Genomic DNA, 25,291 nt, shown 5'->3' on the forward strand with positions numbered 1-25,291 from the left:
AAACGCCAAGAACCTGGGCAACTTGCAGTCACAACCCTCTACCGGTGACACAACAACACCTCACCGCCCTTCATTCACCCTTGGAGTTGGCTGTGTCCAAGACTGCATCTCAGAGGAGGTGTGTGTCCAGAGGCCTCAGGGTCGCTCCTGGTGCCCTGCGAGGCGTGAGGCGAGTAGGATGGGATGGTGGCAGGTGGAGCTTGCGGAGGGCAGGAGCTAGCCTGGATGCAGCCCCCGCTAAGCTGTCCTGGGGCAGGTGGGCCCTTGGGGTCCTCCCTTGTAAGCTGCCCCCGGCCTGGCACTGCAAGAGCAAGTGGAGCCTCACCTGATTTCTCCATAGAGAGGGTGCAGGGGAAGGAGCAGGTGTGTTGGGAGGATTGCAAAGTCCAAGCAGACGTCAGCTGAGCTCATTCCACACGCCGCTGTCCCACTCTTTGGGGGCACTCCCAGCCCTTGTTGGTCTCAATGGCATTTCTCCCCTCCTGGGTTTCCTGGTCTGGTATCCTACCTACTGTACACATGCCCCAAACTCTGCTTTGAAGCCCAATTCTCACCACGTGGCATGACTGTCCCAGCTGGCCACCTTCCTGGAATTCAGCCCAAATCAGTACTTTTGGGAACTTCCTGCAAGGTTTCAAAGAAGCTTTTCTGACACACAGCCACCATGGAGGGTGTTCCAGTCCCCGGACCCTGCTGTGGACATGAGGACACCCATCCCCCACCAGCCGAGCCAGCTGCAAAGGCCTCATAATCCAGCCCCGGCCACCCAGAAGGACAGTGAGCACAGCCTATCTGAGAATGGTATTTGAATCTTTAAGAAAATGAGACTGACTCCAAAATCTAAAACTACCTTTATTGTGGTTGGCTCGACATAAGATGCCGCCATCAGCAGAATTATAAAACTGTACAGGAGGCACAAAAATAGGCTGTTTAACTTAGATAATGACCCTCATGTCTTCAAGCTTTAAAAATGCACATAAAAGTTGTACAATCTGGCAGTTTATAAAATATAAAGCTAAAAAGAGGATTTTGGGTTCCACAAAGAAGACTGTATCACACAATTAACACGTACTAATTAAACAATTAACCATCCACACAGAAGACATAATGGCACAGAATTCTTAAAAATCACCTAAAAATTAACATTTTACCCCGACCAAATTAATCACCCTTTAATAATAAGACTACTGTAAAGCATCCATCCCATGGAAGGATACAGTATCACTTTTCCAGTTTTAAAATGGTCAAGGGTGTTGTCCAAAACAAATCTGATGTGCTTTAAGCAAGTACAATTGTAACTGGATACATTTCAGAGTAAAAATTAAATAAATATAAATAGGTTAAATAAATAGGTCATTGCAAAAAGAACACTACACAAGGTTTACATCTGAGAATGCAGAGTAGGTGACTGGTAATGCTTTCTAGGTAAGTGGGGACTCCCCATCACAGCTTTAGGGACACTGAAAAGGAATACTGTATCCACCAAACACACACACAGTACACAGGGGAGGTGGGGGGGCTTTGGCCAAAGTGTTGGTTAAGGCTGCTCCAGTGGGAGGCTCACTGCAGTCACGTTCTTTGTGGCTTTCCAACGTCTACAGAAAGAATTTAAGCGCCGGTACAAAAAATCAGAACCAGAGTTACTCACGGGAAATCACTGTTTCATAAAGAAGGAGGGGAGTAGACCATTGGGTTTAAAAGATGATGTCCAACCTGGGAGGGTGGAATTTCGGCTCACCTGGAGAGGATGCCTGATGACTTCCTGCCAGGAGAAGCCAAAGCCAGGACATAGTCAACCAAAATAACTCCAGGTTGGTGAGGGAAGGGACAAGGAAAAGAAACACTGGGAAATTCAAAGAAAGGCAATCTCAGACACTAAAAGAGCAGAGAGAGAAAGCGACATGGGGGACTTAAAGAGGCTCCTTCCAGGGCGCTGGGCTTCTCTTCCAGCACAGAAGGCTGCAAAAGTGGAACTGGCCCCCAGTTCCCAGAGGATCACAAGGCCAAGGATCCAATGGGCACACCATGAGGACCCAAGGAAAGGACAGAGAAAGGAACGGCTCTGGGAAAGCCAAACCTGGCCAAAGTCCAACTTCCTGAAAAGAAAGCAGCCAAGAGGAGAAAGCCGTACAATCCAAAGGTCCCCCCATCTGCATGAACGGTTTGATCAGCAACCAATTAATCTCTCACTGCAGCAAGAAAAGAATTGCCAAAGATAACTGAATCGCATGCACACAAAACCTTACCAAAGGCTCAGGGTCAACTCTGATAAGGCCCTTTCTTCTAGAGTTGGTGGGAAGAAACTCTGCTGGATCTACTCACCTGCAGATCTTCCAGAACATCTATCTGTAACTGATCAGAGTGATGTCTCCTTGGAAGGGCCTCTGACCACCACTGCACTGAGAACACGGCGGGAGTGAGAACACCTGCGCACCCAGGATTTCACACTTAGCCACTAGATTGCTTCACAGCTAATCAGGGAAATGCCAGTGTTCCCCAGGTGAAAATGTTTTGGTGCCTAATGACTTGTGGAGCACTTCAAAAACTGAGATTAGGCCGGGTGCGGTGGCTCAAGCCTGTAATCCCAGCACTTTGGGAGGCTGAGGCAGGCGGATCACGAGGTTAGGAGATCGAGACCATCCTGCCTAACATGGGGAAACCCCGTCTCTACTAAAAAAAATATAAAAAATTAGCCGAGCGTGGTGGCACACACCTGTAATCCCAGCTACTCGGGAGGCTGAGGCAGGAGAATTGCTTGAACCAAGGAGGCGGAGGTTGCAGTGAGCTGAGGTCGTGCCACTGCACTCCAGCCTGGGTGACAGAGCGAGACTCTGTCTCAAAAAAACAAAAAACAAACGAAAAAACACTGAAATTAAAAAGACTCAAGAAGCAACAAGAGAAATTCTGGCACACGTGCCCAAGAGAGGTTTAGTAAGACAAGATTTAAATAAGTCATAGTGTCCTTTGGATTCCTAACAGATGTGACCAAGCTCCATCTTGAAGATAGCGTACAGTACTTCTAAAAAGCTCAACAGCCTTCCAGGATTGGAGAAGTCCCATAACCTGAACTACAGACCAAACAGCTAAGCCGCAACACGATATGTGATGGTGCAGAGCTGTTCTGGCCTGAAAAGAACTTTCCACTTGCTGAGCACAGTGGGAAACCAGAATTCTCGAGACTAGAACTGGATACACCAGATGATGCCCAAGGTGTTTTCATGACAAGTACCCACACGAGATCTCTTCAAACAAACCCCCCAGAGGATGGACGGGAACCAGGGCTCCTAAAGGCGACTAAGAGGAAAGACCAGAGGTGACCGGACCAGATCCCTGTGATTCTGGGACAGAAGAGATGTAAACCGCAAACACGCGCCCTTCCCCACACACTTTGGTTTCTTTGTGGCAGCAACACTTTTTTATTGTTCTCTCTCATCACAAGTTTTAGGAAAGCAGAAGTTTTGCCTGTCTTGTTCATCGCTGTATCTCCGGCACCCTATATCCTGCCTAGCTCAATACACTAAGTGCTCAAATAAAATACATTGAATAAATGATTTTGAGAAATCTGCGTGGTTAGAAACTAGTATGATAAGCAGAAAAGGCATCGGAAACAGTTGTCTCTAGGCAAGTGGGGCTAAAACAGGGAGATGACACAAAATTGGGTCACTAGAAATCACCTGGGTACTCCCAAAGAGAAAACCTGTGCTGAGAACGAGCTGGGCTGGGGGCACTCCCTGTGGCAGGCCTGTTAAATCACTCGTGGCACCTTCTCCACCTTCTGATCCTCTCTTGGGTTACTGCCAAAGCCCACAGGTAAAGCACCTTGCAGCCGTATGGGGAGCTCTGTCTCAGGCCACCTGGCATGCGGCATGGGAGCAGCAGGAAATGCGGTCTGGCCACGTTTCTGAACAACGCACAGCCTTGCTTAGAAGACGCCAAGGACACCGACCAAGGGCCAAGGTTCCAAGGCCTAAGTGAGGTAATCGATGAGATTTAAGGATGTAGGATCACGTTAATAGTAGGGAAAAAAGTCACTTTAGCTATGATGAAAGGAAGGGAACTGAATTCTACAAAGGCAGAATGAGAGCTTTTGATGAGTAACCATGATACAAATACACAAACAGAAAACATCTTACAACATGAAGAAACAGTGATTTCTCTGTGAGTAAAATTCAACAATCCCATTCTTAATACTGAATGGAATCTCTGAGTTCACCAGGCCTGAGCTGCAATGATCCCCCAACTGGCTGGAGAAAGTACATGGACAACATCTCCTTACACGGTAGGCTGATTGCATTTTAACCTCTAAGGCTCTCGGGAGAGAAAAGACAAAGTTTTGACTGAAACTAAAGCTAAAAATTATGTTAAGTTTAGAAAAAAAAATATGGTACAAACAATTTAGAGACTATTTCTTTGATACTGTTCAATACATTTACATAGTGTTGCTATAATGTTTTACTCTTCAGCATTAGAGAATGTTCTATACATGAACACTCTTGAGGGGATGGTGATTTTTGGTACCACAAAAAATAGAAGATGTATTCTATCTTGCATTTATTCTTCACAAGAAAGCTTCAAGTTTAGCTTACTTATGCTGACATAGCATTCTACAGTATAATCAAAATATAGTTATTAAAATTTGCCAAGAAAAACAAAAAAGCTGGCCCATGAAGCACACGGTGACCCTGGCCTTGGCCACCCACCCTGGCCCTGACTCACCACGAGCCTCTTGTTCCACCGGCCTTGGGGACGAAGGAGTTTGACTGCCTACTCGCTGGCCCAGGGCTTTCTCCTGGTGACCAGGAGGGTCCCATTCGGCGGCCTCCCTCTGGTCCTGAAGGCTGGCCCCTGTCTGGGTCTTCGCTGCTCTCCTTGAAGGCCAGGGAACTCTTTACCTCTTGCCCCAGGCGCTCCTGAGCACCACCCCGAGATGGCCCGGGACACACCCACCAAAGGCCACTGTTCTGGCCACTGGCACTGGGCCACGGCTGCCTCCAGAACAGAGCAGCCTCTTCATTTCTGAGACCTGCAGACACAACCCCACCTGCCAGCATGCATAGCTGACCAGTCCCTAATGCCACACCTCATGCTCATGGCTCCTGCTGCCTCTGCAGAAACACTAGTTAACAGTGACCTGGGCTACTCTGGGCACATCTGTGATCAATGAGAAATCTCACACTGCAGGACGACACCCTCTGAACTCCGTCCTCCCCCTCCTCAGCATCCCCCACCTCTCAATTCCGGTCTCCAGTGAAGGCTGTACTTGGTGCATCTCAGCCTAGCTGTCCCAGCACGCAAGCAAAATGTACGATTCCCTCCTCTCCCTTCCTGAAAGGCCTGTAGACTGACATTAAGCAGGAATTTAAAAAGTCTGAAGCAAGTTTATCCAGTAGATGGCTGGGGGTGCTACTCGCGCTGTCTCTGAGGCCCTCCTTTGCAGACATCATGACCGTAAGGCTTTTGGGGCCAGCATCTTCCCAGTTCCCTGTAGGTCACGAGGGGCCACTTCTCCCACTTCCTGGGGTCAGCACTGTCCTCTGTGGGCTGCAGAGCAGGCAGCTCAAGGCACTTGGTTTGGGAAGCCTGGTCTCCCTGCAAAGCCGGGAGGCATCAAGCTCTAATTGTGGTGACCAGGCCCTCAGTCACAGCTGGGGCCACCAGAACAGAGGGGCCGCCCTCGCTCAGAGGGCGTCTGGAGTCACTGGGGGCTGGGGCTCTGGGGGCTCGTGGAAGTAGTAGGGCTGGAAGAGTCTCTCGTGGCTGCACAGCTCCATGGCCCGGTAGGTGTGTGCGAGGAGGTGGGGGAAGCGAGATGTGAAGTAGCACACGAAGTCGTCGGGGAGGGACCCCAGCGTCTCCCGCACCTCTGCAGGCAGCTCCCGGTAGTGGTGCTTCTGCAAAGAGTTAGAAAGCTCGGGAGATTAGAAAGGGGTTAGAAAGCTCGGGAAATGTTGGCAAAACACCCTTTCATCATGCAAGGAAGAGACAGAATGTGAGTGTTGGTTTTTGGTAAAGAAAAAGAAAAAAGGCTTATGTATCCAAGAATCCAGCCCCGTCATCTCGCCTGCTACCCTCACTCAGGAGGAGGCCTTGAAGTGAGCAAGGCCCAGCCAGTCCAGGGGGTGCTCAGGCCTTCTGTGACAGTCAGGACCTGGAGACACTCCTGGCCACCTCAGGAGGAGTAAAGTCGCCTGAGATTGGAGTGTCCGTCCCAGTGGGGTCCCCGCATTTGAGGTATGTTTATACATGTTTACACACAGTGGCTGCATCAGACAGGGAGAGGGCCCCACAAAAGTCAGCGACCAGAGACCATGAGGGACATGGGCCGCAGAGCACTGCTTCCCGGAGCTTCACCTGCACCTACGTCCCTGAAGGGAAAATCAGCGTAAGAGAGGCAACAGCCTGCAGTTTGCCAAGTCCAGCTGAAGCCGCCTAGCTCCTGAGAGATGAGAATGCCAGTACAGATAAAAGATTTATAAAGAATGGATGAAAGGAGGAAGGTGTCCATGTCATGGCCACTGGGTCTCCTCCCCAGCATTTACAAACTGCTTACCTTATTTCTCATGGCTCGGAGGAGATCTCTGACAGAACCACCTTTATAGGTCCTGAATTTACGCAGGTCTAGAAAAACATTGAGGGAAGCAATGGGTAATCAAATTTAAAACTAATACATTTTAAAAGAAAACAATTCATGGGGTCCTGGGATTAGGGAGTTGGACTGAAAGGTGAGGTCACTCCACACCTAGGCATGGGAGCAGATCCTCCCATCCAACCCAAGGGTGGTATCCCCCTGAACCCCACCTGGTGATCACACCCAGGTCAGAAATGACCACCTAGAGCACGACACCATCACTCACCTGTCACTCTAGGGAACAAAAATGAAACACACATCAGTGTAACCAAACCACAGAGGACACACCCAAGAAAGTCTCAAACCTGACAGGTGGGATGTGGGGCCTGAACAGCCTGGAGCGGCCATTTCCACGTTTACTTTTTGGAAAGGCGGCAGCGACTTTTGCAACCTGCCCTCTCACACGCTGCAGCATGATCACCTGTCTGGAGGGGGACAGTGATGTTCTCCCGCCAGTCCATCTTCACCACGGCTCTCCCGCCTCTCTCTAACTGCTTCACGATCGGGCCATCCAGGGATTCCTTTTCTATTCTGTCGCTCACGTCCTGTGAGAGAAACAAGGGCAGCAGATGATGGTCAGTGCTGGAGATGCTGAGAGCTGTGCGACTGGGACTCAGTAACAGATCATCACTGACACATAAGCCTGCCCCAGAGCTGGGCAGCAGGCACCCTGCCCCCTCCCTCCCTCATCCATGACTTTCCCTGTGAGCTGCTCTGTTCCTCACGAAGCACAGGCCCACAGAGAGCTTCTCCCATGTCAGAGAGGTGTCACAGAGTACACCTGCATATAGACCACGAACGCATACCCTGAATTTCACATGTGCACACACACGCCATGTGTACGGAGCCGCAAGTGCAATCTATATCCAATGAACCAAAACCAAAAAGAAAAGGAAAGCTCAGATTTGATGTGCATCCCGTGCTTTGTCTACTCACTGAAACAGGGTATGCTCAAGCCCATAACTGGTGGAGGGTCGCCACTCTTCCCTCCACCAGTAGAAAAGACCTGTGAAGCTGGGCCTTCTTCTCAAAGAGGAAACTTGGTGGCAAGAGTATGGGCTCCAGAGGCTCCTGTTGGGATTCAAACCTTGCTCTGCATTTGACTTTGGTAATAAGGAGAGGGTCAGGAAGCACCCAAGTATGGCCTCTTGAAGTCCCACCAGTAAGACAGGTCGACAGCTGAGGACACAGGGAGTGGTGAGCCCTGTCTACATCAATGTTAAGTAGCCTTAGGAGACCCTTTTCTCAGAGCAGCCTTTTCTATGATGAAGATGAAGCCAGACTGGCTGAACTCCTAATTTACAATTGTCAGAGAGAAGCTGTGGAGAGGTTAGATTGTCAACTTGGGTACACTGGGAACACACGTGTCTGAGCTGCAAAGCTGTTACGGCTAAATGACCTGAGTGGAAGCCAGGTGTGTTCGAGAGACATATGACCTGGAGATACTAAGCATTTAAATCCTGTCCCTTGGTGGGTGAAGGTCCCTTTGTGTGGGTTTTATTCCTGTTCTATATTTTGCGATCAAAATGACCTGGTTAGTTTTCACAAGTCCCTGGAAGACATATGGACTTGAGAATTTTCACATTATGTCCATGGACACAGTGACCAATCCATATGCTACAACATGGAAGACAGCATTAAACTCTTCCCAACCCGATCCATCTGAATGGTTGGGCCAGGCAGCGTCCTCCCTAGGAGGCAGGGACACAGTAGTGAATGCAGCAGTCAAGCACTCCTGTCCTCGAGGAGCTTACATTCTGGGGGCTTCCCTCTGGCCAAGGCCCCAGTCAGACCCCAGGAGAGCATGATGGTCACTTCTCAGTACGGTGCCCACCAAGCTGCACTCTGCCTGGACCCAAGGGGAAAAGCACTGCCCCACAAGCCTGCTTTCAGAGCCACGTGCTGGGCAGGAGGCGTTCGGGTGAGTTATGTTCAATTCATACATGGAAGACTTTGAAAAACACATTACCTCTTCAAAAGTCACCTGACATTGTCACAAAGCTTTAAAACAGTCAAATCACCAAAGGAGTTCTAACTTTGCAGAACCTATTTTAAGCAAAAGGAGATCTGGGCCAAGACTGTGTAAAAGATGATAGAAACAAATACAATATAAGAAAGCACTGAAATTTATGACACTTGGGCTGGGCCTGGTGGCTCATGCCTGTAATCCCAGCACTTTGGGAGGCTGAGGCGGGCAGATCACCTGAGGTCCGGAGTTCAAGACCAGCCTGGCCAACATGGTGAAACCCCATCTCTACTAAAAATACAAAAAAACTTAGGCAGGCGTGGTGGTGCATATCTGTAATCCCAGCTACTCAGGAAGCTGAGGCAGGAGAATCACTTGAACCCGGGAGGCAGAGGTTGCAGTGAGCCAAGATTGCACCACTGTACTCCAGCCTGGGTAACGGAGTGAAACGCTGTCTCAAAAAAAATAAAAATAAATAAATAAGCTTATGACACTTGAATGAAATTATATGATGCCTGAGATTTACTTCGAAATAACCTGGGGTGGGGAGAGGGTGAAGGTTAATATTTATTGAACCTGAGGGATGAATAAAGGAGTGCTCATTATAGCATTTAAACATTTATGTATTATATATTTGGAAATTCCATAATATAAAGCTTAACCATTATGGCACATCCATATGATAGAATACTATGGTCATTGGAATTTTAGAACTTTAACATGAAAGAAACTTAAAATATCATGTACAGTTAAAAAAAGGGATTCTGAAACTGTATATACGGTTAGATCCCAATTATACTTTTATATATGAAGAAAACATTAAAACATCAGCCATGATTATCTTCCAGTTTTAGGGTAATGGGCAATTTATTTTATTCTTTGTCCTTTTCTGTATTTTCAAAATCTGAAAAACATTAAATGAAGACTCTGGATAAAGAGAACAGACGTCTCTACCTGGAAGAACTGGAGCTGCTTCTCTAGGCTCCAGAAGAACGGGTGTTTGAGCACATGCTTCGCTGAGGGGCGTTTCTGAGGATCCATCGCAATCATCTTCTCTATCAATTCACGTGCAATGACGTCTTCTATAAAGGAGGAAAATAAGCAACTCATGACTACCAGTCCAAAGCCACAGTGAAATACCAAAAACTTTAAAAAGCTGCACACCCTCTCATTTATGATTCTATTTACAGGAATTTATTCCAATAAAATAATTAGGAACAGACACAAAACCTCAGCCAAAGAGGTGAGTCCTCACTGCATGGTTTGTGAAGGAAGTGACTGTAAACATCCAGTATCAGAGGCCCAAGTGGATACACTACGGTGCCTCCCTACGCTGGGCCATGAGCTGTTAAAGTGCGGCTGTGACTAAATATGGATTGACGTGGAGAGAGATTCAAGGTGACGCTGAAAAACGTGCATGCTGCAAAACAGTATGCAGGATTTAACTGTATTTTTATAAAATATGCAATCACGTCTAGATAAATGACTGGAATAACGTATATGCAAAGGTATCAATAGCCATCATTCATCCCTGTATAATGGGAATATATGGGCCTTTATGCTAATCTGTGTTTTCTATAATAAGAAAAATTAAGCATAAACAAAACAATAATTTAGTTGTAATTTTTTCAAAAGGCAGCACTGGAGTGTCATGGGCCAATTACCACCCAGGAAAACCTGAAGTCTGGAAGAAAGACTTGTTGCACCCATACCAGGAGACCAGGAGGGTGAGGATAAAGCTTGTCTGTCCCCAGCCCAGCACAGACTGCACCTACTGACCACTCGCCATCCCAAGAGAGAAGACAATTTGTCTTCCCAAATGCCAGTGCAGGAAGGGACCTCTGATTATTCAACCCTCATGTCACCAGGTAGAAAAAGAAGGTCTCCAAAGGGGGCTTTGCCTAGGTCACACAAGTAGTTGGTGACCTGGAGGAACCTTGGAGCATCTCAGCTTTAGAAGGTGGCGCCCCAGAGATAACCCTACCAACCCTCTACCAGATTTGGCACAAGTCTGGAGGTCCTGAGGCCTGCGGGGTGAGCAGCTGGGGCACCACGGCCTCTGTGAGTGCAAAGGTGGCACCAGCCCAGCTCTGCAGGGCCACCTGAGGCAGCTGAGGAGCTGCTCCCAACCCCAACCCCTGGACCGCTCACCGTGCTTCTCTGGGTGCAAGCAGTCAAGGCTGCAGGCACCCAGGAGGATGTTGGCCTGCCGCTGCAGGGACTTGCCAAAAGGGTGGCTGCCCTCAGAGATTACGTAGTAAAAGACGCAGCCTGCAGAAAAGATGTCCACCGTGTAGGTCTGAAAAGAGACATGAGGCGTGAGAGGTCTGGGAGCAGAGTTTTCATCCTCACTCACAGTCAGGGAGGGAGGAGCATTGCTGCTGCTTCTGCCACCTAGAAGGTGTCCTGGGAGAATCAGCTGACATATGTGAGCTGCACAGAGCAGCGAGGGCTAACCTGCAGCACTGCATGGGTGTCAGAGGTCCCAGTGGAGAACCTGGGCTTGGAGCCACCTGGAAGCCCCTGGTTCCCTCTCATGTGAGATGAGGACACTGACAGCATGGGGCTGTTGTCAAAAGAGATGCATTAATATGCAAAAATGGTTGCTTACGACAGTGCTTGGCCCATCAAAAGCCCTCCTGGCTGTTATATATTCCTTACCCCCAACACGAAAGTGCTCACAGACAGGGTCTCTGTGTCGTTGCTTCCCTGCTGTACCCCCAGGGCCCAGAATGGTGCCTGCACACAGTAGGTATCAAAATTGCTAATAAGTGAATAAAACAGCTTATGATTCAAAAACAGCCCTAGAAAGAAACTATCTGACAAGTTACCAAGGAGGTCATGTTTGATGTTAATCCGAGAAAGCCTCTCACTTATCCCATGAAACCATTCTGTGTCTACAGAATAGCTTCCTTCGAGGGAAATGTACGTTTGTGTTTTTTAGCTCATGCTACCTGGGGTGTAATACCAAGGTGGTTCCTGAGCACAGCTTGGGTCCCTGTTAGTAGGCCCTGCCTCTGAGATTCTCCACCAGGTGAAGTGAGGGTCTAGTGTGAGGAAGCAGGGGCTCATCACCTCCCATGCTGGAGGAGACACACCTTGAACAACACAGCACTCTCATTCAGCCTCACAACAACCTTGTGAGGCGAGCAGAGCAAATGCTTTCATCCCCAGATGAGAACGTGGACAGAAAGGTTGCATGACAAGCTCAGGGTCACTGCTGGATGTGATAAACCAGGATGGGACTCAGGTCTTCCAATCTCCAAACCTACCATGCTTTATTCTACCTCACTGGATTTTCCCTTAGGAAGGTGCTGGATTCGGGACAGGAGGAACATGGCCACCACAGCTGGAGCTCGCCCCTGACTCCCAGAGCTCTCTGGGTCTTTCACGCCCCCCACACTCTCTGCAGCCTGCTGTCCCCAGCACAGACAACACTAAGGTGAAGAGGCATCTTTCCTACCTGCCTGGCCCCAATTATGTTCTTTCCCAAACTTATTATTGCCACTTGTCCTTGTAATTTGGATATTCCATAAGCTGTTAAACATGAGTGCCACGAAGTCTGAGGTAAGCTGAATCTTTAGAAAGACTCGATAAAGGAAAGGGAATGGTTACAAGAGCTGCTGCGGCATTTGGTGTGGTGGATTCAACCGTAAGGGACTGGGTCATGAAGCGTTAAAAACCAGGCTTCTGCTCTCAAATCGCTTAGGAAGTGTTTGAAGTGTCCAAGCCTCCATGCAGAAGTCACAGAAGTGGTACAGAAGTGTGCTTAATGCAAGGGGGAAAATGAGGACTCCAGTCAGTCAGACCCAAATCTGAAAAGACCTTAGCCTACAGCACAAGATTTCTATGACTTAAGGGCTAATATTACTTGCTTTAAGTTAAAATTAAGTGTTACGGCGTGCGTGCGTGTTTTTATGATTCTTCGCTGTAACTGACTTCTTTGATGATCTGACCAGCTGCTGGTCCCCAGTGAGCTGGATAAGAGGCAGCCATATCTAATCCACTCAAGATGACTGACCCACCCAGGTCTCCATCGGGGAGTGTCCAAGGTGAGCCTCGGCGACTTGTGCTAGAATAAGGTGCTCAAGTGTGAGTGCGCTCCCAGCAAATGGATGCAGAAGCCAGCTTGAAGGGGTTTCCAGGTTGGCCAAATTTGGAACAATTTGTGTATCAAAAGAAGTAAATAACAAAAAAAGGACTAAAATGGATTATAACATTAGTTTCAAAATCCTTGAGCCCATAGCGATTAAGAAAAAAAAAAAAGAGAGAGAGAAGAAAGTGAAAAGAAAGCTCTGCTTTACAGAAAAATGTCAGCTAACAATGTAGAAGAATTTCTACTCAACTGAGTACTTCAGGCAAGGGTGATCAACACATGCTAAACCACTGGGTGAGTGACTGTCAGTAAACAGGATATTCACATTGTGCTGAAGTATCACCCCAAATACTAACAAGAGAGGAGGAAATGAACCCTTATGGTAGAGAGATCAGCTGTAGCATCACTAAGAGGAGGTGATAATAATCTTACAGATACAATCTGCCATCACATGCTTTCTGATGTAGAGACCTGCCAAAAACATTCGTGCCAAAAACATTTAACTTGAACCTAATCAAGCCTCTCCACCTAACTTCTGGTTTCCAGGAAATACAAGGAATACAGAGAAATGTTCAACGCTGTCATGAGGAAAAAAGCAAACAAACCAGAATGGGGCATCCTATAACCCACTGCCTGGACTCTTCAAAATGGAACTTCAACATGGAACAAAATATAGGTGGAAAGATTTGTAAATTCCAAGAGACAGAATCAAATGTAACGCAAGACACCTGATTCCATCCTGGTATATAAAACCCAGTAGGTATCAAAACCCAGTAGGTAGCAAAATACCAACTCTATAAAAGACATTTGGGGACTAATTGGGGAAATTTGAATATGGATTGAATATGAGATGATGGATAGAAACAGTATTAACTGTTGAGGTGGGATAATGGTATTGTGGTTGGAAACACAATGTATTCCTTAGGAGACACGTGCTGAGGTCTTCAGGGATGAAGGGCCAGGATGCCTGCTACTTATATTCAAATGGTTCAGTAATAGGTAAAGATAAAGCAAATGTGGCAAAAGTATTAACAAATGTTGAATCTAGGTGGAGATACACAGGTATTCATGTTAACATTCTTTCAGCCAGATGCTGTGGCTCATGTCTGCAATCCCAGCACTTTGGGAGGCTAAGCCTGAGCCCAGGAGTTCAAGACCAGCCTGGGCAAAATAGCGAGATCGCACTTCTAAAAAATTTTTTTCTTTTAATTTTCTCTATGTCTAAAAATTATCAAAATAAGTTGAGAAAACAAAAACAAAATTTTAAAAATAATGAAAACTTGAAGTTTGCTCACGCTAAGCAAGCCCTGACTTCCCAGTTTACCAAAATTAAAAAGGGGTTAAAAAGTGATTGATTTAGCTGGGTGTGGTGGCAGGTACCTGTAATCCTAGCTACTCAGGAGGCTGAAGCAGGAGAATCGCTTGAACCTGGGAGGTGGAGATTGCAGTGAGCTGAGATCATGCCACTACACTCCAGCCTGGGTGACAGTAAGACTCTGTCACACAAAAAAAACAAAAAAACAGCCAACCAACCAAACAAAAAAAAAAAACAAGTGATTGGAAGAATAGGGAAAAAAAATAGATAATTGCCCACATTTGCCCCTTTAATCAGCTGAACATGAGATGACACAGAATGTTCACACAGAAGCTCTTGGTGAAAGGAATGCCATTCTCCAGCTACACGGGCACCAGCCCCCAAACCTGGAATTTAAAGGTTCTACTCCTGAAGATACAATGGGCTGGTTCTGTAGTTTTCAAAGGGCCATAGCCTATTACTCACAGGGTTCTCCTTACAGTCTTCGCTCAGCATCTCTGGAGCGATCCAGCCTTCTGTGCCAGGCACCCCAGATCGGCGGCTGAAACTGTGTCTGCCCACTGCCAGCTTCTTGCAGAGGCCAAAGTCGGAGATCATGGCCTTGATCTTGCCGTGTGCATTGGGCATGGATATGAGGATGTTGTGTGGCTTTAGGTCTCTGTGAACTAACAGAGAACTCCAGATTAGTCCAATGCTTACCAGGAGCAACCCCAGGCCTCCTCCAATGGGGAATGTGTCCTCGTCAGACTCCCAATATGCCTGCCGCCACCTCCAAATGTTCTGATTTTCAACTATGTCGGATTCCTCCTCAAATTCTTACACCACTCATCTTTGCTACTGGTGATATAGCCAAGAGCTTGAACAGAAGCAAGGCCCACCCGAGCTACTGGTTAGCCCCACCTGGGCCACTGATTCTCCCCACCCGGGCCGCTGGCCTGGTAAAGTGCAGCCTCTCACCGATGTTGAGGGAGTGGAGGTGGGCCAGGCCCGAGGTGGTCTGCTGCAGCAAGGTGATGGGCTCCAGGCCGAGATGCGCAAAGTCCTTCTGCTCCACATACTGCAAAAGACATGACAGCAAGGTCACGGCACACAGTCCTCAGGACTTGGCCCCTCGGCTCACTTTCTTTGATACCATTTTAAGAAAGAAATGGCAAGTTTTACTGACAACATTCTGTCTAAATCCATGTTTTCCAGCAAGGAGCAAACCTCCAAATCTACTAATTTACAATGAGAAAGATAAGAAGGCAAGAAACTCAAGTTCATTGCCTCATATAAGTAAACCTACAAAGGAATCCAAATGATACTGATATGGTTTCAAAGTGAGCCTGGAAAATGAGCAAAAGGAGCTTGCTGGATGATCTTAAAGCCTGGAGTTACCAACTGGCATCCTCCAAGCCCACACCAGCCATGACTGAAGAGGGAAAGAACAACTGTCCAGGTTTCCTGGAGGCAAAGAGGGAGAGACATGCCAACTGCAAGCAGACTGCCCAGGCATGCTGGGGGGACCACCCTGTTACAACCAGAGGGATAAAAATGCTCCACATTTTGACTGTGTATGTGGTTAAATGGGTATAGACATTTGTCAAAATTCATCAAGCTATTACATTTAAAATTAGTACAATTCACTGTAACTTTTTTTTAATTTGACGGGGTCTCACTCTGTTGTCCAGGCTGGAGTGCAGTGGCACAATCACTGCTTACTGCAGCCTTGATCTCCCAGGCTCAAGCAATCTTCCCACCTCAGCCTCCCAAGTAGCTGGGGCTACAGGAACACATCGCTAGGCCTGGCTAATTTTTGGTTTCTTTGTAGAGATGGGGTTTCACCATGTTGTCCAGGCTGGTCTCAAACTCCTGAGCTCACGTGATCTGCTCACTTTGGCCTCCCAAAGTGCTATGACTTTAATAAAGTTAACAAAATAAAAAAAATAAATCCACCTCTTGCAGGGTGGCTGCACACAGCTCGATGGCAATGTACTGGAATTGCCGGTCCTTCTCCGTGCAGAAGTAGCGGATCACGTTCGGGTGCTCATCCGATTCTCGCAACAGCTGGACCTCACGGTCTGCGAAGCTAAAACACTCGGGGAGGATCCTCTTCACGGCCACGTCGCGGTTGTCAAACATGCCCCTGCGGGATGAGGAGTGGGAGTTGTGTCTGGGAAGCACGAGTCAGGCTGTGTAAATGAGGTGAGAACCTGGGTCCACAGCATTCACCTACTGCCTCCCAGCCTAGAGAGCCCCGCCTGACTGCCTGGTGGCCCCGGAATCATCGCTTGTCTCAGTGTGCAAGCTCCCTGGAGGCCGGACTCCATGCGTCTAGGTCACTGCTTTGACCCTGCTGTGCTCTGAGCCTGGCACCAGGCTCGCAACCTGACAGGCACTTAGACACCAGGCGGTGAGGGCAGGGGGCTGGCTAATCCACTCACCGGTACACAATTGTGCCCTCAGCTCCATGGCCCAGGACATCCTTGGGACAGAAGGAAATTTTCCCAACTATCACCACGCTGGTTTCCTCATCTGGGACAAAATAGGAAAAAGAGATTGTTTCAAACAGATATCACCTAAAGAACCTTGAGGTTAACATAGTGACAAGCTTCCTGACCTCAGATTAAAAGATGGGATTTAAGAGGCACTGCACCCCAGACTGCTGCTCAGCAAGAGCCTGCCAGGCCCACTCCCCATGTACACCCAGGACTGCCTCTTCCCCCTGCCCCTGCATTCTGTCTCCGCCTTTACCTTATTGTGCGATTGCATATCTTAAAACCTTCTGGAAGGCAGGGATTCTCCATAGCGTTTCACACACTTATACATATTCATTGTGATATAGTTAGAATGGTTTAATAGTTAACAACCACCACAAAGTCCACTGTAAAGATCCGCACTGAAGCATTCAGGTGGCGGCAATGGACATGTAAAACGAGGAGACTCCTTGGGACAGAGGGCTCTGAGTTCCCTGCACCAGCTCTGTGCCAGTTCCCTCAGAATTGGGGCTCTGACAACTGGCTTGAGCCAACTTCCACAGAGGAAAGCAGACCAACTGTGACACTTCCACACTTGGCCACCGGCTGGCCCTGGGAACTCTCTTCAGCCCAATGGGCAGCTCACCTCTGGTCAGCCGCGACGCCCAGCCCTTGTGGAGAAAGACAGGAGGATGGCCAGGGTGGTTCCCAGAAGGCCCTCTGAAGGGGAGATGCCAAGGGATGGGGCAGAAGCCTTCCCACAGAGACCCCCAGAGTGGAAGTTAGAGGAGAACACAGTGAACCCCTGAGAATGGTAGTTTACAATCTTATGGAGACTCCTTGGACTTCTCAGGAGGTGCTCGAATAAAACATAAAATAGCACCAAGATGGCAACTGGCTTTACCTCCATCGTCTTGTTCCAGGGAGGGGCTGCTGCCAGCCTTGGAGGCAGAGCTGCCGGAGCAGAGCGAGTGGTTGGAGGCCCTGGGGGACGTGCTGGGGCTGCTGGTGCCCGAGCTCTCTGAGTACGGGCCAGACGTGTCCAGGAGCTCGCCGTCCTGAGCCGTGTCTCCAGGTGGGTGGAAGGGCAGCTGCTGCTGCTGCTGCTGCAGGAGCTGGATCTTCTCCAGTTCCTTCTGGAACTGCTGGTGCTGGAGCTGCTGCTGCTGATGCATGCTCTGGGAAGAGAAACCCACATCCAGACAAGGGCAGCTGTTCCCACAGGGAAACAAGCAGCTGGGAAGGGACAGGTCCCAGTGGCGGAGGGAGCATGTGTACTTTATGTGACCCAACAGGGCACAAAGAGACCAGTGAGAAGGCACCTGGAAGCAGAATTGCTTCGATGACTGGACGTCTTTCCACCGACTAGTTAGATCCTTGCTCATACAGCCCACTCCCCAACCCTAGGAGGGGCTGGATGGCCACCAGGGGAGGGACTGTGCCCTAGGTTGAGGGCTGTGCCAGTTTCATTCAGTTCTAAAATTCTGTGATTTTCATGAAAGTCTGAGAGTTGTTGCAAAGGTGAAACCAAACAGGAAGCACAGGTAGCATGGCTGAGCCAGTGGTGGGTGAGAGCAAGCCCCAGGTTCGCCACCCACCGTGTCTGTGTGTTGGCTAGAGGCTAGCGCACAGACACTCAGTAATCCAGAGGGGCAGGTGAGGAAGCTCTAGTATTCTAGGTATGCAGAGTACATCTGCATACACATAGCCAGGAGGTGGCAGTGGGGCTGACACATGGTGAGCCTGGCTGAGGTCCTGCTTCCGCCTTTCATCCCACTGCCTTCCCCGAGGCCACATGCCTCTCAAATACTCTGAAGGATTCATTCTGTCATTATCTGAAGTAGCAGCGATCTGTGATCATCCCTACCCATGTGCAGGAGGTGGACTGAAGGGACTTCTGTGAGCCACCAACCCACCAGGGAGTCGTCTCTTCTTCTCTCCACCATGGGGTGGAGTCCTAGAAATGCCGTCTACTAGCTGGGTACCCGTGGGGAAAGTTACTTAGCTTCTCAGGGTCTACTTCCTTCTTTTGTGGACAAGGGATCAATAATAATGACCTCATAGGACTGAGTGAGGTGAAAAGTGAAACTATCAGGTGCAGACGTGCCAGTGGGGAGTGCCATAAAGAGTCTGTCATTCCCATTCCTGGGCGGGTCATTAGCTTCCTGAGCTCTCAGGTAACAGCATCTCGATGCTCTGAGCAACCTGCTGAAGGACCATGCCCCTCACATATTTCATCCCACCCATGGCCTGTTCTGCTACAGAACTTGCTCATTTCCAACTAGGAAGTAAAGGGATGGCCACACTGCCTTTTTCACACAAGCTGATCTCACAGGCAGCTTCTTTTTTCTTTTTTTGGTTCTTCTCCCCAGCAGAAGTTCTAATGGCAGTTTTTAAGGGAGGAAAGGTCTTCATCTATTATCCTTATTCTTTAAAAATACAGATAACTATTCAAAATCATCTTTGAGCAAGGCTTATAAATCAGCTCTTAGCTGAAAAACACTAAGATTTAGGAACAAAATTGTCCTTTTCTGGGAGGCTAGTGTCTCTTTAATTATGTTTTTGAAGATAAACAAACACTGACTTTTTTTTTCTTTTTTTTTGAGATGGAGTCTTGCTCTGTCGCCTTGCTCTGTCGCCCAGGCTGGAGTGCAGTGGTGTGATCTCAGCTCACTATAAGCTCCGCCTCACGGGTTCACGCCATTCTCCTGCCTCAGCCTCCAGAGTGGCTGGGACTACAGGCCCCTGCCACCATGCCCGGCTAATTTTTTGTATTTTTAGTAGAGACAGGGTTTCACTGTGTTAGCCAGGATGGTCTTGATCTCCTGACCTTGTGATCCACCCGCCTCGGCCTCCCAAAGTGCTGGGATTACAGGCGTGAGCCACTGTGCCCGCCCGGCCAACAAACACTGACTTTTAAATGGGGAAAGAAATGTGCTGGTTGTTTTTGTCTGGATCTCACTGACATGAGGCGACAGGCAGAGAAGCCCCAGAAATAGGTGGATGGCAAAGGGGAATTGTTGAGCTTTACCAGGGGATAGGTGATGATGAAGGCCACCCAGCCAATCAGCAGGAAGGTGCTCAGGATGATGGTAGCCATGTCCTTAAGCATGGAGTCCACGGGGGCCTCGGGCCGGGCAGGGGCATGGGCGGGCTTCTCCTCCACATCCCGAGACACGGTGGTAGGTGCGTTTTCTGAAGTCTGGTCAACCAGGTTGATAACCTTGCATGGGAGAGAGTTGCGACATCACTGCAAAATTTCTAGCCAGATACAGATGAGGCCAGCAATCAAGAGAAGCAATCACTGTTTACAAGGATATGACTGTACTGCAGGGGGTTTTATTTGTTTTAAGCTCACCAAAGATCATGTAGCCAGATAACTGTTGCCTCTTTCAAAGCAATTGCTTTGAGAGGCCATGCATCTTTGCAGTGAGGTTATCATTATTCAAAAATAGTTTTTGGAGCAATACTTTTGGCAGGTGTCTTCAGACCCTACATATTTTTTTCAAAAATCCTCAAAAAGGCAAACACTTCCTCCTTTGATGGTAGGTTCAGTATCCAGGAAAACACTGAAGTCATCTGTAACAAAGTCTGGTGAAAAATTGGTATTTGATTTAATAATACCATTTCACATTAAAAGGAAATCCGCACGTATACAGAGGCACATGGCTAGAAAGCAATAAAGCAGTTTTCTCGTGTTGCCTGTAAACTGTCAGTGCAATCCCAAAATTATAATTTATTCCAGTAGTCCACTATTTCTTCAAAGTTTTTAAGAAGCATCAGAAGCGTTTGTTAAAGAAAATTTAGAAGCCCAAAATTAAATCAGATAAAAATGGAGCTTCCCTAGAGTTCCTCAGAATCTCTAAGACTTCACGGAACAGGCATTTAGAAAAATGCATTGACTCACTTTCAAATATCTAGTATTCTAGGTATGCCGTTATCATTTGCCCAACAAAACTAACACAGCCTCCCTGGCACATGCTGAATTTCCCACATGCTAAACCTCCCACACGCTCACGCCATTTCACCCCTCCCCCCAGATGGCTGCCTAGAATGTTCTTCTCTCCCCTCCAGGTGTACCCCTCTTATTCATGCCTCTCCCACAGTGCCTCCCACATTTTTGGGGGTTTGTAGCCTGCAGAGTATATAGGAAGCACCTGGGCATGTGGCCAGGGACATCTGTATGTCTCATCACCATACAGATGCACCTGAGAGTATTTTAAAACATACTTTTTCAAAGACCGTTATCCAAGACCAGATGGTTAAATACAAAGATTTGACACGTGGCTACCTCTGGGTGTTAAATTAAGGGCACTGTCTTATTTTCTTCTGTATGTGTTTATTTTCTAAGTGTTCAATAATGAATATGCAGGACTTTAATAAGATTATAGGACAATGCTGTTTAAGATTGCTGTTTTAGGAATCAATGTATTTCTCCAACCTGGCTACTTCCGTAGATGATGGTAAACAGATACTGTGCCCTGGAATCTTGAAAGTCTACAATTTCCTTTGTCTCTGGATAAAATCTAAATCTCTCAACTGAGTTTGTTGTGCTTTTGGTCTCGGCATCAGTCAGCCATTCTCTTCTTCTTCTGACCCTACTCATGTAGCCCAGGTGCATCTCTGTCCCTGGGCCCTCCATGGCAGGGCTGCTGAAGCTGCCAGGCCTGAATCGGTCACTAAGCCTCAGACGTCCCCTCTTCCCCTTCCCTGGCCATGTTGGGTTCCCTCCTGCAGAGCCACCCTTCCACCTCCTCCACCGGCTCTGTGCCCCAGAAGGCTGACCTGTATGGGCCAAAGCAATGGCTTCCCCAACCCCCTGGGGTTTTTGACTGGGTAAAGCTAACAGGGGACACCAGCAGATGAGAGAGAGAGGTAAGAGAAAGAGGTTGACTTCTGTGGGGCTGCTGAATTCCTCAACTGATGCTTTCAGCTCCCGGTCTAGAGTCCTTTCTACTCCCTCTCCTCTGGCTTTAGGCCAAGGTGTGCTAAGAGAGCCCCTGGAACTCTGTGCAAATAGTCCCAGGCCACTCTCTGTCTGCTTCATAAAACTTCAGATCTCATCACTTCTTCAACAATTTTTTTTTTTTTTTTTTTTTTTTTAGCAATAGGGTCTTGCTATGTTGCCCAGGCTGGTCTCAAACTCCTGGGCTCAAGCGATCCTCCTGCCTTGGTCTCCCAAAGCACTGGGATTACAGGTGTGAGACACCCAACCCAGCCTTCAACAACTCTTAAACTCCTCCACAGGGCTTGTTTCAGGCCCTGTAACATGGTTCCTTTTTACCCATGTGAGCCCATTTCCTACTACCCCCTACTTAGTAGCCTCGGGTCTGGCCAGGCCTTTCTCCCCACAGCCTGTGAGCTGGGCACACCAGCATTCTTCCCACTCCAGGCTTTTGCCCTTGCTGTTCCATTCCCTCCTGTGCCCTCTTGCTCCCTCCACCTGGCCAAATCCTACCCATTCATCCAGGTCCAGGCCTAGCTTGGTCCTGCTGCCTTTCCTGCACCTTCTTTCACAAGTTGCTTCCTATTCCTCTCCACTAGCCCTTAACCATTTATGTTTTTTGCTTTGGATTCTGGTGCATTCCTCTTCCCTCCCAGACTAGGCTGCAAGCTCAGAAGGCAGAGTCAAAGTCTAATGCCTCACCCTCCCAACACCTAACACCAACAACCCCCGACTGGTCGCTTCCTCACTCACTTCCTCAAAGCTCTTTTTCTCTGAATCAGCAGGAATCACATTTTCCCGATGTTTGGGTAGATTGTTGGGAAATCTCTCCAGCATCTTGGTAGACGCAGACAGTGGGGTTTCATGGTGTCCTATGACAGGAAACAAAACCTTTAGTGAGAACAATTTCCCGAGCTGTGGTGGCACTCAATGCTAAACTTAGGCAACAGGTGCTACCCACTGAGGGGTCCACAATGCAAACTCTCAGCAGGACTGTGAGTTAGAGAAAATGAGTGGCAGTTACCAGAAAATTCCATCAAAGCAGGACCCTTATTACTTCATGGCAGAATACAGTATTCCAAGTCTCCTACTGAGGAGTGAAGAAGTATCCTTGCATGACAGGGATCAGGACATTTGGGAGGCACCAGACGCAAGGCTCGTGGGGCTGCATGGGCCCGATCCACAGGTGAAGTATGATGAGGCTTCATTAAAAGTTCAAGGAGTTCTCCTTTCAATGCTTTTTCCTGTAACATCACTCTTCTATGGCCGCCGAATTCCCATCTTGGTATTTAAATTGCTCAGGTGGAGTTCCAGTCCTACTATTATCTAAATGTGAGCTTCCATCGGGGAAAGTGGTACATTACTTGCGAGAAAGCAGTAGGACACACCTGCTAGATGGATGGGGCCATAGCTTGCTCCACGTTCATTTGCTGTTCACTACACAACTATCGCATGGCTACTGAGCATTCATTACACATTTATTGAGCATCTATTGTGTGCAAATTGCTGTAAGAGATACAAAGCTGACTAGAATAGGGAACTGGGATTTGATAGGGCTTGATAATCCATTCAGCTCTAAAAATGAGTCCACATACTGCCCCAAAGAGCCAGGTCACTGTTTCAGATTAGGCTGCCAGTAGCCTGGCTGACTTTCCTTTCTGTTCTCTGGCTATGAGCAGATCTCACTCTGACTCACGTCTCTTTCACCTTATGATCTTTCCATTGTTCCCCTAAACCTATCAAAGATTTCATGACATACATGCCAAGATGACAACAAACAGGAACTAGTCTAAGCTGTGTACATTTCTTGATCTGGAAAATTCCTCTTTGAGTTCCCATCTTTAGGTCAGTTCTCTATCTACAACATAATATCATTCTTTAAGGGAAACCTACTTTTGTTTTGAGCCACCACTAGTTTCTCTTGTGTACCAAGGAGCTCTGAGACATGCTTTGCTTGGGAGCAGGATTTCTCCACTTGTGGTCTGCCCACTTCAGACCACTGAATCAGACTTGCTGGTAGGGCCCAGGAATCCGAATGTGAGTATGTGCGGGTAACTCTGAGGCTCACTAACAAGAGACCTACGGTCTAAGAAAAGTGAGGTGTTCTTCCACATGCCACGCTGTGCAGCAGTGTCCTGCCCTTCCCACAACACCCACTCAGTGCTCAGGGTCCTACCTGTCTGGTAGGACACCTGCCAAGAGACTGCTATGGAAGGCATTAGCCTGAATCCCCCTAGTTCTTCTGTCAACCTTCTTGTAAACAGGCTTCTCCTGGAGCTGGGCCTTCACTGATATCACGCTGTACACACTGGACCAACCACTGTACAACCTTACTCATGAGACCACTAAATATTTTGTACAAATATTACCTGGTCTCCTTGATGTATTCATCTATCATTATCTCTTAGGTCCAGATTCCAGAGCAAAAAGCAGATGGCTAGGCCCTGCCCCAGACCTACTGAATCAGGCTCTCCCGGGCTTATATATGCCTAGTTAACTAAGCTCTGATGCCGAAAGCACCCAAGGTCAGGGCCATGGCTTTGGGGCAACCCACAGACCATGCCTCTCAAGCTAATTGGATCCTTGTATTTTCACGATTAATGACAACCTGGAATATCTTTAATGCTTTCCACAAAGAGAAAATGAAAGGACATATCTGGACATAGTAGGGCATATCCTTTTACTTGTGGCCCTCGTCAACAGGAGACACTGCCATAGTCTCAGTGCCATATTTTAAGATGACGAGCTTTGGAGGTCCTCAGAAGAGGCTTTCGAATTGTGGGATCCTTACACTTAATAGATTCCTTATACTTTGCTGTTTTCGCAGTTTCCTTACTTGGACAACCTTTCCATTTTAAAGGGATCTCATTTTACAAGTTAACCATGAAGACTCCCTGCCCCCATATTTTCTGTATTCTCATATATACACATTTCCTTAATTCCACTTCTTAATCACTGGTGGGCAGTCTGTGAGCCCCTTAACTGGCACATAATGCTGAGCAGCCTTGTAATTGCAATGACCTCTTCTCATTAGCTATTTTTTTCTCACCATGGGCCTATTCATACATGCTCCTCCAACTACTTCTGTTAATAAAAACGTATTATTATTTTGTCATCTCCTTTACCCGTTATTTGGTAAAAATAAAATAAAAATGGCTACAAGGAAACAGGATGAAAAAAGAAATGGACCTTGACAATCTATAAAGGAAGCGAGCAGGGCTCAAGGATACCTGGTTTCCCCCCATAATACCTGGTTACACACATCCCCACCTACACCGCACTGCCTGGCAGATCCTGCTGTTTCCTGGTCCCCACATGCTCCCAGCTGCCCCACATCTCTTTTCCAGAGCCCCAGCCCTGACCTCTTTCTCCCCTAGTACCTGTCACCAGCAAGCACGACAGGAAGAGAACAGAGAGAAGAAACTGCACCGGCCCCTGGGTGCTCCAGCACCCGACTGACCTCCTGCCCTGCTCTGCCCCTACTGGGGCTGGGAGGTGGCAGAACAGTGAGGGATGGGGCACAGGAAGGGCAGATGGGGTTCAAGAAAACTCCCTCCTGCTCTAATGACTTGGCACACTTGCCAGGAACACAGCTCTTCTCACTTCCGCCTTCGTTTGTCACACTCACTGCCAACTCAAGAAGTGTCATCTCAACTTATCTCTCTTGGGACAGGGCCTCTAGTTCAATCCCTGGCCATTAGTGATGGCAGCAAAAACAAGAGAAAGAGGAAAAAAGGGACCTTCCCACACACCTGGGATGACACTGCCCTAGAACCACAACCAGCCCCTGACTCTGCTGCTCTCAATCCATCCTGGGATTTAATCCCTCCCGGGTCCTCAGCCCTCGCCTCTCCAACCCCTCACCCTCATGCCCACGTGGACTCC

The 25,291-nt window shown here is 48.1% G+C and overlaps 1 protein-coding gene across 1 annotated transcript in view, besides 5 other annotated features; it reads right to left on the reverse strand.

The window, feature by feature from the left end:
* Window positions 1-832: 832 nt before the first annotated feature.
* The window catches only part of ERN1 (endoplasmic reticulum to nucleus signaling 1), a 91,003-nt gene continuing 66,544 nt past the window's right edge, over window positions 833-25,291 (reverse strand). Inside the window, exons 11-22 of the mRNA NM_001433.5 lie at window positions 22,160-22,278; window positions 19,493-19,684; window positions 17,366-17,639; window positions 16,429-16,519; window positions 15,941-16,130; window positions 14,963-15,062; window positions 14,471-14,670; window positions 10,746-10,893; window positions 9,549-9,676; window positions 7,050-7,173; window positions 6,551-6,618; window positions 833-5,891 (exon numbers count right to left, since the gene is read on the reverse strand). Of these exons, the coding sequence (NP_001424.3) occupies window positions 5,679-5,891; window positions 6,551-6,618; window positions 7,050-7,173; window positions 9,549-9,676; window positions 10,746-10,893; window positions 14,471-14,670; window positions 14,963-15,062; window positions 15,941-16,130; window positions 16,429-16,519; window positions 17,366-17,639; window positions 19,493-19,684; window positions 22,160-22,278 (1,847 nt within the window). The 3' untranslated portion in view covers window positions 833-5,678. The remainder of the gene's footprint in view (window positions 5,892-6,550; window positions 6,619-7,049; window positions 7,174-9,548; window positions 9,677-10,745; window positions 10,894-14,470; window positions 14,671-14,962; window positions 15,063-15,940; window positions 16,131-16,428; window positions 16,520-17,365; window positions 17,640-19,492; window positions 19,685-22,159; window positions 22,279-25,291) is intronic.
* Window positions 16,948-17,691: an enhancer, noted in NCBI's record as "H3K27ac-H3K4me1 hESC enhancer chr17:62132617-62133360 (GRCh37/hg19 assembly coordinates)". NCBI's record gives its function as "activates a minimal SCP1, AML or CMV promoter by ChIP-STARR-seq in naive H9 embryonic stem cells {active_cell/tissue: H9 hESC(naive)}" and the evidence as "EXISTENCE:reporter gene assay evidence [ECO:0000049][PMID:30033119]".
* Window positions 17,692-18,435: an enhancer, noted in NCBI's record as "NANOG-H3K27ac-H3K4me1 hESC enhancer chr17:62133361-62134104 (GRCh37/hg19 assembly coordinates)". NCBI's record gives its function as "activates a minimal SCP1, AML or CMV promoter by ChIP-STARR-seq in naive H9 embryonic stem cells {active_cell/tissue: H9 hESC(naive)}" and the evidence as "EXISTENCE:reporter gene assay evidence [ECO:0000049][PMID:30033119]".
* Window positions 18,224-18,343: an enhancer, noted in NCBI's record as "active region_12575". NCBI's record gives its function as "activates an Ori minimal core promoter by ATAC-STARR-seq in GM12878 lymphoblastoid cells {active_cell/tissue: GM12878}" and the evidence as "EXISTENCE:reporter gene assay evidence [ECO:0000049][PMID:35858748]".
* Window positions 18,654-18,703: a silencer, noted in NCBI's record as "silent region_8837". NCBI's record gives its function as "represses an Ori minimal core promoter by ATAC-STARR-seq in GM12878 lymphoblastoid cells {active_cell/tissue: GM12878}" and the evidence as "EXISTENCE:reporter gene assay evidence [ECO:0000049][PMID:35858748]".
* Window positions 24,705-24,774: an enhancer, noted in NCBI's record as "active region_12576". NCBI's record gives its function as "activates an Ori minimal core promoter by ATAC-STARR-seq in GM12878 lymphoblastoid cells {active_cell/tissue: GM12878}" and the evidence as "EXISTENCE:reporter gene assay evidence [ECO:0000049][PMID:35858748]".

This window comes from Homo sapiens, chromosome 17 (genome assembly GCF_000001405.40).
Source record: "Homo sapiens chromosome 17, GRCh38.p14 Primary Assembly".
NCBI classification, from domain to species: domain Eukaryota; kingdom Metazoa; phylum Chordata; class Mammalia; order Primates; family Hominidae; genus Homo; species Homo sapiens.